We start from the raw sequence: 16,943 nt of genomic DNA, 5'->3' as shown, positions 1-16,943 counted from the left end.
ATTTTCATTTAAATGTAAATGCTGCTTTGAGTCTCAGGAAACACACACACTGGACTCACAGCCTTTGCAGAAAAATACCAGAAATAGTGAGCTTTGGAAACTGAAATTCCTTCTTAAATTAATTTTTATGTGTCTCAAGATCGTCTTGATAATTAATTTTTTAATATATTTTAAACATCTTTTTCTTTCCTTGCAAAGAGGAAGAAATAAACAACATTGGTGAAAGAACTCCGATTGTCAAGACAATACAATGCGTTGCTAGCTGGGGAGACATTTGTGCAACTTACAGAGATATATAAATATATTAGTTTGGGGATTGCTACTTTCAGAGCAAATATTGCATTGTCACAAATATCATACCCTCAAGCCAAGGTATGTATTAATGGCTTCATTATTAAAATTTGGTTACTGTTTCAGAACTGTAAATCCATCAGTTATGATAATTTTATAAAATGAAACCACAAATATTAATGAAAGTTTTCAGTTCAATAGAGCATCAACAATAACCAGATATTATAATTCTGGGAAAGTTAGCGAATGGTATTTTTAAAGTATCAGAAAATATTCTCTCATTCAAAATTTTGACTGGAGTTTTCAAGTACCAGCCATGACAATAAATTTCTCCTACTGCCCTCTCTACCAAAATGCATCATTTCTCACGGTCTAGAGGAGAGAGCCCATGTTTTCCTAGCTTGGCATGCAAGAGCCTTACCATCTTCATTTATATTAGCTTTCCACACTGCATCCTTAAATGCAGGTACATCCTCAATGCCTGCCTCTATTATGACATTACGTTGCCTTCTGATCTGTGCCCTGGTTACTTATCTCCTTGCCCCATGTGCCCACATTGCAAATTTCTATATGTCTTCAGGGTCAATACATAGGTGGCTTGGAATAGATGGCATTGAATATCTGCTGAACAAACACTATCTCTTCTTTGCTTAAAGCAGCCCTCAATGGGCATGCTTCCCTTTAAACTATTTTTCTAAAATTGCCAAATTAAATTTTGGTTGGATTTTAAGCTCTTTAGTTTCTTGTACAGAATAGATTCTTAATAGCATATCAATGACAAAAGAATGAATAAAACACATTTGTTTCTGGTTTCTATTCAAGAGCCATAGAGTTTATATCTCTAAGGTAGGCAAAAAGGGTTTTAAAAAGAAAAGAATATTAAAGCTCACTAGGAAAATTTCGCCAAAAGAAAATCTGGAGAACAAGCAGGGTGGCTTTATGCCAATTAATTATGTTTCTTTTTAATCAAGTGTACAGCTATTTATGCAGTTATTAAATAGCCAGATTTTTTAGAAGGAGTTGGCTGGTACCGTTTAGGTTAAAGGCCCTTGCTTGTAATACATGCATCACAGATTGAGCAAGATTGAACTAGACATACAGAAGGAAACGGCAACCTATTTTCTTTTCTAAATTGCAGAGGAGTCAGTCTTTCCACATGTTATCTCCATTCTCTCTCCAGTCATTCTCTTCTTAGTCTCATTTGCCAAAATTACACACAGAACTGCAGCAGTACTGCGCACCAAATATGCCCTGGCTTCATCATAAGTATTTCAAAGTACACTATTAAGGCAAAAAGAAAATCGAATCTTATTAACAGGATTAAGTTCTGAACAAGTCTCAAAATCCATTAGAAATAGAAGTGACGGTGTCAGCAATAAGGATCTGCGAAATCATTTAATTAAAACTCTTTTATTTTAAAAAGCAGATTACTTATGTGTTCTGGTGGCTCTAAGCATTAAAACGTGGCAGAATCGATATTCCACGGAGGACCACAATCCCTTATGGTTTGTTTGTTGAGGATTATTTCTTAAAGTCGCATACACGACACTCGTCTGTCTCACCCGAGCAAGTTGATTTATCTTCTGAAGAAAACGCACATAAGGGCCATGCATATAACAGGAGGAAATTAATACCATAAACCTATCATGAAACATTTCAAGTCAAAATAAGATCTGGTGAGACTTGAGTCCTTTATGGTGTGTGAAGGAAACTGTATAGCCCAGTTACAAAACCAAGTCATCCAGCTTCGGCTTCTGCAAAATAAAAGGCCTACATCTTTCTGAGAAAGGGACACTTTCTTTCTTTTTTGTTTCCCATGAATTCCGCCCTTCCTACTGACTTTAAGGTAATTCATTGGTTTATTCATTTATTTTTTGCTTAACAAATGTCTGACACATGGAAGGACCGGGAGGAGGTGCCCACGAACAAGGCAAAGCCCCAGGAATAGAAGTCTTCTTTACAGACAGCTGAGTCCAATTTTACAGCCATTTGTCAGAACAAGGACATCTGGTTGGTGTCTGGTGTGGGCATGGGAAGGCTGGTGACGTGAAGTTTTGCAATTATTAAGGAACTGACAACCTCACTGCTGTAAATATGTTAATGAGGTCAGAGAGCCCAATAGTTCTGGTTTCTTACAATTGGGATTCCCAGAGTTTCACTTTGTGAGGTGCCAATTTTGTGAAAAATGTTGGTTATCTGGTGCATAGGCTCAAGTTCAGAGAGAAACCAGTGAAGTGCTTCCAAACCAATTCTAGTGCTTGTGGTGGATTTGCATCAGGGATGTTCTGATCATCTAAGAGAGGTGCTGAAATGCAGCCCACCACCTCTTCAGCAAAGGCTGGGGTTTTGAACTCAATGGCAAACATAGGATAAGTTCAACACAGTCATGGGCTTCTTCTGTCATAAACAAGATGAGCTTCTGGGTATGAGGTATTGGGACATAGCTTACTTCCTCTTCTGTTGATTTCTAGACCTTATTTGAAGAAGAAAACAGTTCCAACTAGCTTAAGACCTAGTATAATTTTCAAGTCTTTTGTATTACAATTCTCAATAACCCATTCCTGAATTCTGTGAGAATAAACTTAAAAAAATTCTCCAAGTATCTATATTGCTTTTCATATTATATTGGCATCTGACCTTCAACTGTGGGCTATTTGCATGTTCATTTGGTGACAGTATGTATATTGTAACAGATTTTACCTACATATATTTTTTCTGATCCTACAGTTAGAGGGTCTCTTATTTAGGGCATAATTCCACAACCTTTGATAGTATCTTGTAAATATAATATACAAAGAAATCTATTTAATGATGAATTGTGTTTCAGATGTGTTTCAATAAATTTTTGTTTTTTTTGCTTGTGAAAAAATATTTCCAATTTAGCTTTAAAGTAGTATATGAGAGGAATATTTATCTATATATGTAATCTCTCTCTCATCCATTAATAAGTATCCATCAAGTGCTACCTATATTTAAGAAAAGTTATTTGCATAGAGGTTATAGTTGAATCCTAACATCAATAGGCAAATTCTTATTACCTGATTGGATGGCACTCGTTCAAGGGTATGGCTGCCTGTGTTAAGAATGTGTATCTCTCTGATGTCCATAGTGTTCTTTCTTTTAAAGTCATGAGGTGAGAGCAGCAAGTTGACCCAGGGTCTTTTTCTCTCATTGTCCTGTCTTCTCAGGGGTCTGAATGCAGGATGAGAAGGTTCGAAAGCTGGGTTGGGACTTGGTGGAATAGGCAGCTTTTTGGCATTCATTATTGACCCTGAACCACAACCCAACTCACCAGAACTTTTTGTACTGAGATGTGGGACTCAAGCCCAGCTGACAATGAGGACACTTCCACTTTTGTTTGCTCCTATTTCCCATTTGTTTGTCTTCCTTGGAGAGGTTGGGGGAAAATGAGAGGGTCTAGGGAATAAGCCCCCAAATCCTGGGTCCAAATGCCATCTTAACACCATCAGAAAGACTCTGAATCTTCACATTGTCTTTCACAGCTGCTGCTTCTCTCTCTAAACCAATGCCTGCAGGTTCTCCTGAACGAGAAGTAACCCTCAAATTGGGCATCGAGCTGGGATCACAGCATGGCTGCTATCAATTCCAGTGTGAGGTTTTCTCTGGATGCTGTTCATAGCAGCACCTGTGTTCTTAGCAGGCCCAGTGGAGTCAGCTTTGGAAAGTAAGAAGTCAGAGTGCAAGAGGTGAAATGGCTTTGGGCCATGAGTAGAAATTAGCTTCATGTAGAAAAGTGATTCTGACCTCATAAAATGGTTTGGGTGCCAACCATTGCTCTCTTCTGAGCTTTTCCCTTGAATTTGATCTTGCTTATTGGGTTTTGTGATGAAAGGCTTTTATTGATTACTACTAAGCACTTGAAAGTTAAGTGGCTCTGTGGAAAATAGGGAATTAGATGATCATTATTTTTTATCTTTTCTGAAAAGTGCAATTTCTAGTTAGACATTTGACTAAATAAAACCCAGGGCGCCTTTATACCAGAAACGGAGTGAAGAAGTAAAAAGTGGAATCTCAAATGCAGCATTTCAGTATGATTGGATTTAATTAAATACTTCAGATGAGGCTGTGGGGAGGAAGCCAGTTCTCACCAGAAGTTAGGTGGCATTTCCTTTTATGAACCAGTGTAGGAGGGAATAGGCAGGCCCTGTTAGCCATCAAGGTTCCCTTCCCTCATGCCCTATCAAATCCCAGCAGGGCCTTGGACTAATGCCTAGTGTCAGTCTGTTTTTGCTTCAAGGCTCTCTGTAGAGGTATTAAGGAACTAAAGCAAGACTGGCCTCACCTAGTCTCCAAGTCAATCTTAAGAAAAGCCTACTGAGAACTACAAGCAGGTGAATTGGTACACTCCAGGATGGGAGTCCTGATCCTGCCATGCTTGGTTAACTTCCTTTATCTTTATCCCAGTCACTGGATGATATTCTTATGCCTGCTTACCAAATGCCTTTGCTGCTAACAATGGCCATGACAATGTCATTTTTAGAGTTGTGAAGATTGTGTACAGCAGAGGCATTTCACCTGAACTCCAGGATGGGTAAATGGGCCAATGTTATGGATGAAATTATCTTTTTGTGTTTCCGTGCACAAGACAGGCAAGTCCCTGACTACCTGGAGCTTACATTTAAATTGGAAGAAGCAAACCATGAACTAAAGAGATTAATATACTAGGTAAGTTCAGGTTGTGATAAATTCTACAACAAAAAACCTACAGGGCCTTTTGACAGAATTTTACATGAGGTTTTCAAGGCAGGTGAGCAACATGAGGATTCCTCAAAATTCTTCACGCCTCTTGGAGAGTAAATGAAAAGTCTTAGCCTGGGAAATCTGGCAGAACAGCCCCAAATGGTCCACTGAAATGACCAAATTTCTTTAACACTTCTTGTTTTAAAATGATGTTTCATGCAAATTCTGTTACTGCTCCTTTCTATATTCCTGTTGGTTTTAATATGGAATATATTTTACAAGTGGTCAAGAAAAGTCAGGAACAAAAGGATATTTGCTGTACTGTCCCCATCACTTTATGTCTCCAGGCATATAATCTGCTGTAACTGGAGAAGCAATTTGGGACTAGTACTGTGCCACCTTCTCCCACAAAGGATTTTTGGACATCAGCAATAATTGATTCCCACTCCAGGTTGTCCCATTCCCATAGACACTGTGACCTGGGTTGCTGGACTCCTCTTACTGATGTTATCGCCTGGCTAGTCTTCCCATCCTGCCTTCTCCACTGGATCCCTTATCTTGACCTATACAGTAGCTCCACTGAGGTTCCCACTGTGCTACGGCTGGACTCAAGCAGGTTATAGTCCTCAGAGTCCTGGGTAGTTCTCTTTTAACCTCACTTAGAAAAGTTATTAATGACATGGACTTATAGGGGATTTGGGGAATATAAGTGCCATTCAGTTCCTCTCTAATTTTATAGGCTACACCTGAGTGGTAGAGTGTCTGGATCCATAGGCAGCTGGATATACATGAGGCCTTGCTTTTGTTGGAATTCTTGCAGCATGGAGAAAAGATTAGTGCTGAGCTTTCTCTGCTTGGAACTAGCAATAGGTCCAGGGCATGAATAAGAAATCAACAAGAACTGACAGGAGCTGGTACTTAGTGCTCTGAGGATCTCAGGGAGAAGAGCTGACATCAACCCAGTTGAATGCAACTGGTAACCCCCAAGTCCTTGAGTGCTATGAGCTAAATGAGTGGCTTAAGTCTTCCCTGCCTCCAAGGTTGGATATAGTTGAGAGTCAGAAAGGAGGTGATTTCCCACATATGCTTTGATAATGAAACCAAAAATAGATCAATAGATAACAAATACGCTACAGACGGATATAAATAAATGTAAAGTAGGTAGATAAATAGATTAGATAGACAGATAAACACATCACTCTGAAAATAGAGAATATACATTGCTCTTCATCATGGGGACTTTTTTTTTTTTTTTTTTTTTTTGACAGAGTTTCACTCTTCTTGCCCAGGCTGGAGTGCAGTGGTGCGATCTCAGCTCACCGCAACCTCCACTTCCCGGGTTCAAACGATTCTCCTGCCTCAGGCTCACAAAGTAGCTGGGATTACAGGCATGCACCACCATGAATGGCTAATTTTGTATTTTTAGTAAAGACGGTGTTTCTCCATGTTGGTTAGGCTGGTCTCAAACTCCCGACCTCAGGTGATCGACCTACCTTGGCCTCCCAAAGTGCTGGGATTACAGGTGTGAGCCACCATGCTTGGCCCATCATAGGGATATTTATAAGCAGCATTTCTTAAAGTTAAAAAAAGGTCATATTCTCTGTTTCTTATCCTAAGATGAAGAAATCAATCAATATTCAAAATGTTAGCTTCTTGGAAATTAAATGATACCCTCCTTGATGATACTAAAATCAGAGAAGATATAAAAGTAAAAACGCAGATTATCTGGATAACAACGAAAAAAATACTTTATAACGAAAATTATAGGACGCAGTAAAAGCTTTCTCGCCAAACTTAATTAATTATTAGTGGAAAAAAAACACCAAAGGAGACTAAGTAATAACTGTTAAACAAAAATTATGGGAGGACTTTTTTTTTTTTTGAGACAGTCTCTCACTCTGTCACTCAGATTGGAGTACAGTGGTGTGATCTCTGCTCACTGCAACTTCTGCCTCCTGGGTTCAAGCAAATCTCGTGCCTCAGCTTCCCAAGAAGCTAGGACTACAGGCATGTGCCAGCATGCCTGGCTAATTTTTGTATTTTTAATAACAACAGGGTTTCACCATGTTGCCTAGGCTGGTCTTGAACTCCTGGCCTCACATGATCCTCCCGCCTCAGCCTCCCAGAGCTCTGGGATTACAGGTGTGAGCCACCGTGCCTGGCCAGGAGGCCATTGTTTTGAAAGGAGGTCTTGCATTTGACCCCAACAGACCAGACCAAACCGAAGTCACTCATGCTAAATGCCACATAATAAAACTGAAACTTGAAAGAAAAGATAGATCCCCAAACAGATCAGTGTTCCCCGAAAACAACAGATTTTAGTCTGCCTGAGGCACTATAATAAGAAAGTGTCCTCAGCTTTATCCCTTACCTAAAAGTAACCTAAAGTAACTTGATGCTAACCAATCAACTTTTTTTTCTATTGTTTTGTATCCTTGCTCCCGCTTTATAAAATCCACTGTTTTGCCATTTCCCAGAGGGTGTTCTCATTCTACTTTGTAGAATAGAGGCCGCCCTGATTTGTGAATCACAAATAAAAGCCAATTAAATCTATGACTAAATATCTTGTAATTTTGTCTTTTGACATAACCTCAATAACTAATAAAAGAACAAAAAAATTAAAAGGTAGAAATGAGAAAGTTAACATACATATACACACAGTCACACACACAAGATAGCCATCCCAGGAACACATAGAAGAAATTGGGAAGGTGAATATAATTCAAAAATGTACCAAGATTAAAGGGCTTTGAAGAACAGAAAATTTTTATGTTATTTAAATAAACTCAGGCTACGAAAGAAGATGGAAAGTATGTCAGTTTGCTTTATGGAGCAAGCATAACTTTTTAACTTTAAAACTAACAAGGATAGTTCAAATAATTAAAAAGATAGAAATATATTAGATATATCATTAATAGTCTGTTGTCATAATCAAATATATTAGTAAGTTTAGCAAGATCTATTATATCATATCCCCACATTTTGAAAATATATTTTCTAAATTCAGTGGAATAAGAAAAATAAATCAGCTATATGTGATAAATAATGTTTACTAAAAATGGTAGCAAATACATCCCAAAGAGAAAAATATTCAGACAACTTCAAAATCAAATCATGAACTTCACGGCGATATTTGTCATCACCATTATTACCTTTTCTCTCTTGAATGTTTTAGCATATGCAATATGACAAGAAAATTAAGTGCTATTATAAATATTGAAGAATGAGAGGTATAACATAACTTTCATTGAAAAGTAGTTTAAAATACAAGAGAATAAAAAACAGAATTATTGAACAGGTTTTATAATGTGAAAAATGAAAGGAAAGAATAGCTTCTGCTGTTTTAGAAAACAGTATATATAAATTAAAATGGGAAAAATAATTCATTTTTAATATTGTAAACAAATGTAGGAATACCTTGTACAAGATAGCAGAGAAACTCTCAAGAAAGTGCTTGTATCTTATTGAAAGAGAAAATGCAATTGAAACTAATGGAAATAAATAACTTGCTCTTTAATTTAAAAATGTAAGCATTACAATTAATTTTTCCAAGATTTATAAAATAAAATTATTGGTCAAGTTAGATATATTTCAGGAATTCAAAGATGGTATAATATTACCAATCTATTATCATAATCATTTGTATCACAAATTAAGAGAAAAAATGATATGTATTATCCAGTTGTGCTGAAAATATATTTGTAAAATTCAGTAGGTATATTTAGTCTAGTTTCTATGATTAATTTCTAAATCTTAAATTTTATCCCAAAGAATACATGTCTGAAATTATCCAAAAAATATGACAAAGAAGGACCATGTAAGAAGATTTGACTAAAGAGTTATATTTAAAACAACAACAAAAAAGCAATAAGAATTTTGCCAGAAAGTACAGGAAACTACATTTACAATCTAGAAGGTAGCACATTCTTAATCAATAATGAAAATACAGAAGTTAAAAGGTAAAGTCTACGTATGTCAATAAAAACCAAAAAGCAGAAACAAAGCCAATAAACATTAATAGAGATGGAAAAATCAAATTGCATCATTGATAATAAATCGTAATGTCTGTAGTATGCAAATACTTCTATATGTTGCCAAGAAAAAAACGAAGAGTACAACAGGAAGACTGGACAAAAAATATGATTTACAGAAGTGCAAATCAAAATGGCTAACAAATATATCTTAAAAGTGCTCCATTCACTAGTCATGACGGAATGAAAATTCAGGTAACAATGAAGTACTACTTTACCTCCATCAGACTGAAATAGCCATTTCGGCTGCTTGATATGGGGAAAGTTTACTTCAAGTATTGCTGGCGGAAATTCAAAGAACTTCTGCCTTTGGAAAACAATCTAGCAGTAGCAATTTAACTTTAAAAACATTTATTCTTTGAGGTAATAATCTCATTTCTGGGAATCAAGAGCCTGGAAATCAAAGCACCTATATATAATGCTCATGATGGGAGTAGGGGATGGGAAAGAGAATACCCACTGATCAGTGAACAGGTGTATAAATTGTGGCATATTCACAATATGAAAAAAATAATTATTCAAATGAATGAGTATAGTGAAGTTTAACAACGTGTGTATAATAGCCATTATTGTAAAACAAATTACAACTAAGGAAAAGCACACCATCAGGTTAGCCTATACAGCACTTTAAGAGCACGGAGAAAAATATGGAAAGATATAGATTGATGCATACGTTATCTTGTTGGTGGTGGCAGGTCTTACATACCGATTTATGTAAAACCAATTGTGGGGATGTATATAGAAAAGCTTGAGGAAGAGAATAACAAGTGTGTTGAGGCATTTAGAGTTCCAAAGGTAGGATGCTCACCAAGTGTTAATATGTATCACAAGGGACCTAATAGTCCCACTGACTTGGATGGGACTTAGATAGAAAAAAAAAAAAAAAAACTTCAGAATTAATCCTCTGCTAGGGATGGAGAACCATCTCCTCAGTCACAACATCCGTGAATAACCAAGTATTTACATACATCTTTTTTCCCATTATTCCCTTTCATTCTGGGTAATCACTTTTGAAAACCTCCTCCAAAGACTGAAAGCTACTTTCCTTGGGATCAGATATATTCTGTAGGAATGTAAGGTTCAGAAAAGGTGAGTAGTGTAATCTGTGTTTCTTACTGTGGTTCATATAATAGAATGACAAGATTTTTGAGGAATTGCATGGGGCACAGAAGAGTCCAGCGTGGCTTACTGGTCGAGGTTGTGAATGAGTAGCTACAGGAAGGGACACTAGTCCTAGGCAAGGTGACTTTCAGAATCTCTGTGAACCATCAGAGTGATGGAAGGGTAAAACTGGGAGGAGACTGGATGAAATATTGGGAATTAACTTTTTTTTTTTTTTTTCCGAGACAGAGTCTCACTCTGTCGCCCAGGCTGGAGGGCAGTGGTGCAATCTTGGCTCACTGTAACCTCCACCTCCCGGGTTCAAGCGATTCTTCTGCCTCAGCCTCCCCAGTAGCTGGGATTATAGGTGGGCCGTAATTACAAAATGCCCGGCTAATTTTTGTATTTTTAGTAGAGTCAGGGTTTCACCATGTTCGTCAGGCTGGTCTCGAACTCCTGACCTCGTGATCCGATACACTCGGCCTCCCAAAGTGCTGGGATTACAGGAGTGAGCCACCGCGCCTGGCTGGGAATTAACTTTTAAAGCTTCCCATTCTGATGAAGACATGAACTAGGGCATAGCTTGATTCCCTGAATGGGAGGAAAACAAAACACCCAAAATGGTATCTTGCATTTTAGCAAAAACAAAAATAAGTAAAAATACAGTCATGGCATTTAGGGAAAGAGATCTGGGTTCAGATCTCAGCCCTTCCATGAACTTGCGCTAATTGCTCGGTTTCTTTGACCCTCACTCTCATCTGTACATAAATGGGCACAGAAACCCTTGTCCTGTGGAGCTTTTGTGAACAGTAAATGGGATCTTGGCACTTGGCACTCAGGGATCAATGTCTGGCACTCAGGGATCAGTGTCTGGTATTATGTTTTTGCATGAAATAAAATATCTGGGGGAGAAAATGTGCTGGCCCCATATGCCAAGAGTGAACGAGAAAGCTTCAGTGCACAATCAAGTCTTCTAGGAGTATGTTTGAAAAGGTTCCAATGGAAACGGACACTAAGTGGCAAACAAAACGCTTTGTCAGCCTTAACCGGGAAGATGCTGGTAAGGAAGTTATTAGTTAATCACCAACCAGCCATAAGGTGTTATGGAGCCTGCTAAGTTTAAATATGCTTTATTATCCGACATCCAACATATGGCACATGGTTATGAGGTGGATGACACTCGTTTTAAAGGTCATCGTTACCCAAATGAGCGGATCTGAAATGGAGAAATTAGTTAATGCTTTCATCTGCTGATTTAGTGTGAACACATCCAAGAGAGCCGAGGCACTCCAGATGGCAGGCAGCAAAAATAGCTAAGAAAGATGATGTGTGTTAACTGTTTCTTAATGACACCAGTGGTTCACTAGGGGGAGGACAGGTGAGGAAGAAAGAAGGAATCCTTCACCAAGTACTGATTGGACTTATGGGTGAAATGAAGATCTCTTTACCTGGTTCTCAGGAGATTAAATTCCACCTGTAACAAATGGAAAAACTGCCCTTCCATCCATATTATTGATATTGCTACTGAGGATGATGATGATTTGTTGTTTCAGCTACATGTAATAAGCACGTCCATGTGCCTGGCACTGTTTTGTGTTTAACGTTCATCTTTTTAGTTATTTCTCTCAACAACATACTGAGGCAGTTATGGTTAAGAATGGTGGCTGACAGGCACAGTGGCTCACGCCTGTGATCCCAGCACTTTGGGAGGCCGAGGCAGGTGGATCACAAGGTCAAGAATCAAGACCATCCTGGCCAAGATGGTGAAACCTTGTCTCTACTAAAAATACAAAAAATTAGTTGGGCGTGGTGGCGCGCGCCTGTAGCCCCAGCTACTCGGGAGGCTGAAGCAGGAGAATGGCATGAAACCGGGAGGCGGAGCTTGCAGTGAGCCGAGATCTCGCCACTGCACTCCAGCCTGGGTGACAGAGCCAGACTCCATCTAAAAAAAAAAAAAAGAATGGTGGCCGAGAAGCCAGATTTCCTGGATTCCAATCTTATTTGTGTGGCTTTCAACAAGTTACTTCTCTGTGGCAGTTTGTTTGTGAGGTCCAGATTATGTTACTATCTATCTCACAGGTAACTGTAGGCTCACATGAGAGAACACATATAAAGCACTGAGAAGAAGAAATGTTTGGGACATAGTAAATGCTCAGTAAATATTAGTGCTACCTCCTCCACCCTGCACCCAGGTGATTTTCTCCTTTTTTGCATAAAAGGAGAAGGAAAGTTTCAGATGTTAAAGAGCATGCCCAAGCTCACCTGACCAAATGTGCAGACAGATTCAAGTCTGCCTTCTAAACTTGTGTTGCACTGTCCCAGGCAGCAAACCTTTCTCCCAAATGCACGCAAGTCACATTTTCAGGATAGCAGCAGAGAAACAAGAAAGGTACTTGCCAGTCTTCAGAACACCACCGTATCACAAGCAGGAAAATTCAGGAGCCTCATCAAGGCCAGACCCAAGTTACTTTCCTTCTATTAAAAAACAAACAAACAAAACTGTTCAGACTTTGGGTGGGATGGTGAGGAAATACACTGGAAAAGTAATCTAAAATGATTAAATCATAATAATGACAAATAGCATTTAGCAAGTCCTTATACTGCGTGCCAGGTGTTGGATTAAATGTCTTATATGCATTTATATTTTCCATCCCTCTGGCAACTCAACGTTTGTCCTGTCATTATTCACATTTTACACATAAGAGGATTATGGCAGAGGAAGGATAAATACCATTCCCAGAGTTGTATAGTTAAGAAGTGAAAGATCTGGGATTTCAACTCAGGGATTCAAGAGGCAGGACACATGGACTCTACGATTGCACTCTCCTGGCCTGGCTTGATGGATTAGGGGCAGGGATCCTTTCTCAAACCTGAGCGTGCATTAGAGTCACCTGGAGGACTGAAATCCACTGCCAGAGTTTCTGATTCAGTAGATCTGAGCTAGGGCCCAAGAATGTGCATTTCTCACTTCCACTTCCCATGTGATGCTGCTGCTGCCTGTGTGAGGGCCACACTTTAACAGCCAGTGGATAATTAGACTTTAGAGCCTAGATTAGAGTCACAGAAGACTTCCCAGGGCCACCACTTGGTAGTTGTGCAACACTGAGCAAGTCCTATTAACTCCTCGGAGCTTCAGTTTCCTTATCTGCTCAGTAGGAGTATAAGTCATTATAGTCTTATTGACTATATAAATAGTCATTAAAAGGATGCAGTTAATAAAATCTATCTCCTAGAGCTGTTATGGAGATTAAATAAAATACCATGTATAAAGTACCTAGTAAGTATCCTGGAACACAATAATAGCTCTCACATGGTGGTAAATAAATACACTTGTCACAAAATTATTAAGTCCTCTCTGTGTACAGAGCACATGGAGAGAGAGAGATGAAGTCACATTTCCTATCTGGAACAAGTAGATTTAACAACTAAAAAGATCCAAGAAGAAACATAGATGCACACCCAGACCCCAGGACACACACACACGTGCACACCCAAACACCAAGAAACAAAAATACAAAGCAAAATGTGACTGTGTCTGTCTGGGGTCCTGCAAAGCGCTAAGAAAACCAGAGAATGAGCACAGACGTTCAAGTGGAGAAATTACCAGAGGTTTATGGAGAGAGGACCATCTGAGCTGACTCTGAAAGTAGCTAGGCAGACATATAATTATTGTTCTTTTTATTTTGAAAGATTGAGTGCTGACTACATATGAGACACTGTGTTTGGCATTTTGTGCTTAATTCTTGTAGCCCCCAGCTGGCTAGAGGCTGGGCATTGCTATTCTCATTTGACAGAGGAACAAACAGGTCTGAAAATATTAAGCAATTTGCCTTAAGTCACACCGTGTGCATGTGGCGCATGGGCCTTGGGAGTGGGAGTGGCGCAGGCAGGAAGCCTTGTTTCTTTGTACTTAAGCCCCAAGCAGTGATCTTGTCATTCTGCCCTGTGATTTCCTCTGGTGGAGTATTGGCAAGCTGAGCTCTGTAACTTCACATTCTCATCCTCTTTACTTAAAGCTGGTCCCCCGAGGAAGGCAGCGGAAATGTAACTGCATATACAAAACTGAGCTTGGAACGTCTGAGGCAAAGCTGGGGGAGTTCCAGGGAATCCTGATGAGAAGCTGTTTGGAGCCCCAGGACAGCTGTGCCATTTGATGACTCCCATTCCAGTTGGGCATAAACCTACCTCTGCAACTACCTGCCATACCCCCACTTCCTTCTTCTGAATGCAGGAAGCTCATCTGAGCAATAATGTGTAGGAAAGGTTGTGGCTCTCTCCAAATCCATAACAAATATACCCTCGGAAAGAGAAACTTCAGGTCTTTGTCTCTCTTTTGCACATAGTATGTTGTTTGGGAGCAGGGTGATGATGTTTCTCACTGGAACATGGGAACAATTCATTTGAGTTCCCAGTCTGTTCACAAAACACGTCCACCAGTCATTGTAGAGATGCAGAGCCTGGGATTCATAGGATACTTGGTGTCTTTTTATGAACAATGATGCCCCACTTACCTACAGGCCAGACTTCCAGCAACTTTACCAAAATGTATTCCTGAAATTAGAAATAAGAGGGAAGGGCTTGCAATAGGCAGAGATGGTTTTCAAAAAGCCCTTTAAACACACGCACAGATGCACACACACACACGCACACACATATGCACACACATACACACTATGGGAGGAGCCTTTAGAACTTCAGTCAGTACACACAGGCTCTAACTCTATACATATTTCTAATAAATCTTTTTATTTGGTTTCCAACTCATAGAAGACAATTAGGGAGGTGACTTCTACTGCTTGGGTCACTGACAGTAGGAAGGTTAGATAAAGCAGGTTACTTGCCAGCTTAGAGAAAGATCCAGATACAGAGACCTAGGAATCTCTGTCCTCCAAAATAGTCACACAGGTTGAGCAATAATAACGAAATAAGCAAGTGGCAGCGTGGAGTTGGGGAACTCTACAATTAGTGTCAGTATTGGCAAAAGAGAGAAATGGCAGTCAAGGGGTGAGGATATAAGTTGGCGGGGCCAATAGCCCTAGGACTTGGAACGCATCTCTGACTCAGAGTCAGATCCATTTCCTAGGAGGTTGTGGTTTGGCATGGAATTACCACGAGAGTAGGTGAGTCCCGAAGGAGCGGAAGTGCAGATTGTCCTCCAGGCACAATAAAGCTTTTAGCCTTTGACTAGGTGGGCTTCCCAAAGGGCCAGTTAATGCTTTCCTTGGCAAAAGAATGCAAATCAATCCAAACCTCCATGTCCATGATCCTTGGAGAGTATCCTTTGTGCTTGGACTGATATGAGTTGTTTAGTTTTGCCTGAAAACAGCAGCCTGAGTGCGGCCAGGGCTTCCTTGGGGTTACTCAGGTCTCCGAATTCCTGGGGCCTCTTGTGTGTCGGAGCACTGCTTGGAGTGTCTCCTTCTGCGCAAATTCCTGAGTCCAGGATGTGGACATCTGTTCCCTGCTGTGGGCAAAGGACACAGGTCGTTTCGTTTGTTTATTTTTGCTGTGGTTTGCAACAAGGATAGATCTGATTCCTGGCAAAAGCAGGCTGCCAAGACCCCACTGTGATCAAGTAGAGGACTGAGAGGTGAGGAGAAACAATTGTATGTCCATGCTCAGCATAAAGAATAAAATTCTAAGCCATGTTTGGGGCCAGAGCTAATTAGAATACCACATTCTGACTTCACTCACGTATTCTATGGTTCCCTAACTCAGGAACCACCAGGTGGGAGAGATCTCTGGTATGAATGCAAGGAAAAGCTGAGCTTCCCTTGAAATACCAGCTCTTCTTTTCTACTCTCCCCCAAGCCCCTCTTTCCTGTTGTGTTACAGAAATCAAGAATCATGTAAACAATTGTATTTCCTGCATTTTTTGGACACTGGGAAGCTTAAATGAAAATCTGGGCCAATATTTAGGCTTCCATGAGGCCATGTAGAATGCTTATATAGTGGCTGTTGCTTTTCTCTGAGGGTCGTTCCTTTCCCTGATCAGGAAACTGGTTCACTCATTTACTCAACTACAGGGATGACATTGGAACGAGACTGGCTCCATCATAATAAACATCCTCCTAGCCAGAGTGAATTGTCCAGAGATGTCCATGGGACCCAAGCTGTGCCAAGTGGGGTCCTACTCAAAGAACTGGTAGAGAAATGCAGATGTTCCAGTAAGTCAGACCATCTCCTTGCCTTTAAATAATGGAAAAGTGAGGACTCAGTGCACAGAGTAACAGAGATGAGAAACCTACAGAGAGAGTCCTGACAGTGTTCAGAAGCTATTTCTGGTCAACCTCAAGGCCATTTCTGCCATTGTTTACTACTGCAGTATTTTATATGCAGCAATTAATTCTTCATTGGTCCTCAGGCAATTTCAAGCTGGATTTCCATCACTTGCAGCCAGCGTGCTAAGTCAGGATCCTGGCTCACTAATATTTTTCCTGGCTTTTGTATTTGCTTTCCTGTATTTTCTCCTCATCTTGATTCCTTCACTTATTTGTCACTTTTCTTCTGTATTACATATAATTTTGTAAGCTGACCTCAAATTCTTTGTGAAGAGAAGCAGAGTGTAAACATGCACGTAGTATCAAGTAACTTCAAATCCAGCACTTTTTCTCTCTGCCACAGCTATTGATAATGGCAGACTGTGACATCAAGAAAAGGTTAGCTTGGTTTCTGTATTTTCTGTTTCAAAAAGCCAAGAGGTATGTGATACATTAAATTACAGTTTCTTTTAAAAATAGTTAATATAAGCAATTACCACTGGGATCAATACTAAGTCTTAGTTATCTGGAAAATTCGTTCATGTGAAAAAGTATACTC

General features: G+C 39.6%; 2 long non-coding RNA genes across 3 annotated transcripts in view; one reads left to right on the top strand and one right to left on the bottom strand.

The window, feature by feature from the left end:
* LINC00922 (long intergenic non-protein coding RNA 922) overlaps positions 1-16,943 on the top strand; it is a 291,796-nt gene that overhangs the window by 167,716 nt on the left and 107,137 nt on the right. The window lies entirely within an intron of this gene.
* LOC124903780 (uncharacterized) overlaps positions 14,852-16,943 on the bottom strand; it is a 161,687-nt gene continuing 159,595 nt past the window's right edge. Inside the window, exon 4 of the long non-coding RNA XR_007065224.1 lies at positions 14,852-15,588. This is a non-coding gene — a long non-coding RNA (uncharacterized LOC124903780). The remainder of the gene's footprint in view (positions 15,589-16,943) is intronic.

Source organism: Homo sapiens, chromosome 16, assembly GCF_000001405.40.
Source record: "Homo sapiens chromosome 16, GRCh38.p14 Primary Assembly".
Lineage (NCBI taxonomy): Eukaryota > Metazoa > Chordata > Mammalia > Primates > Hominidae > Homo > Homo sapiens.
The sequence above is the reverse complement of the archived record's forward strand: the minus strand, read 5'-3'. Positions and strand labels throughout refer to the sequence as shown.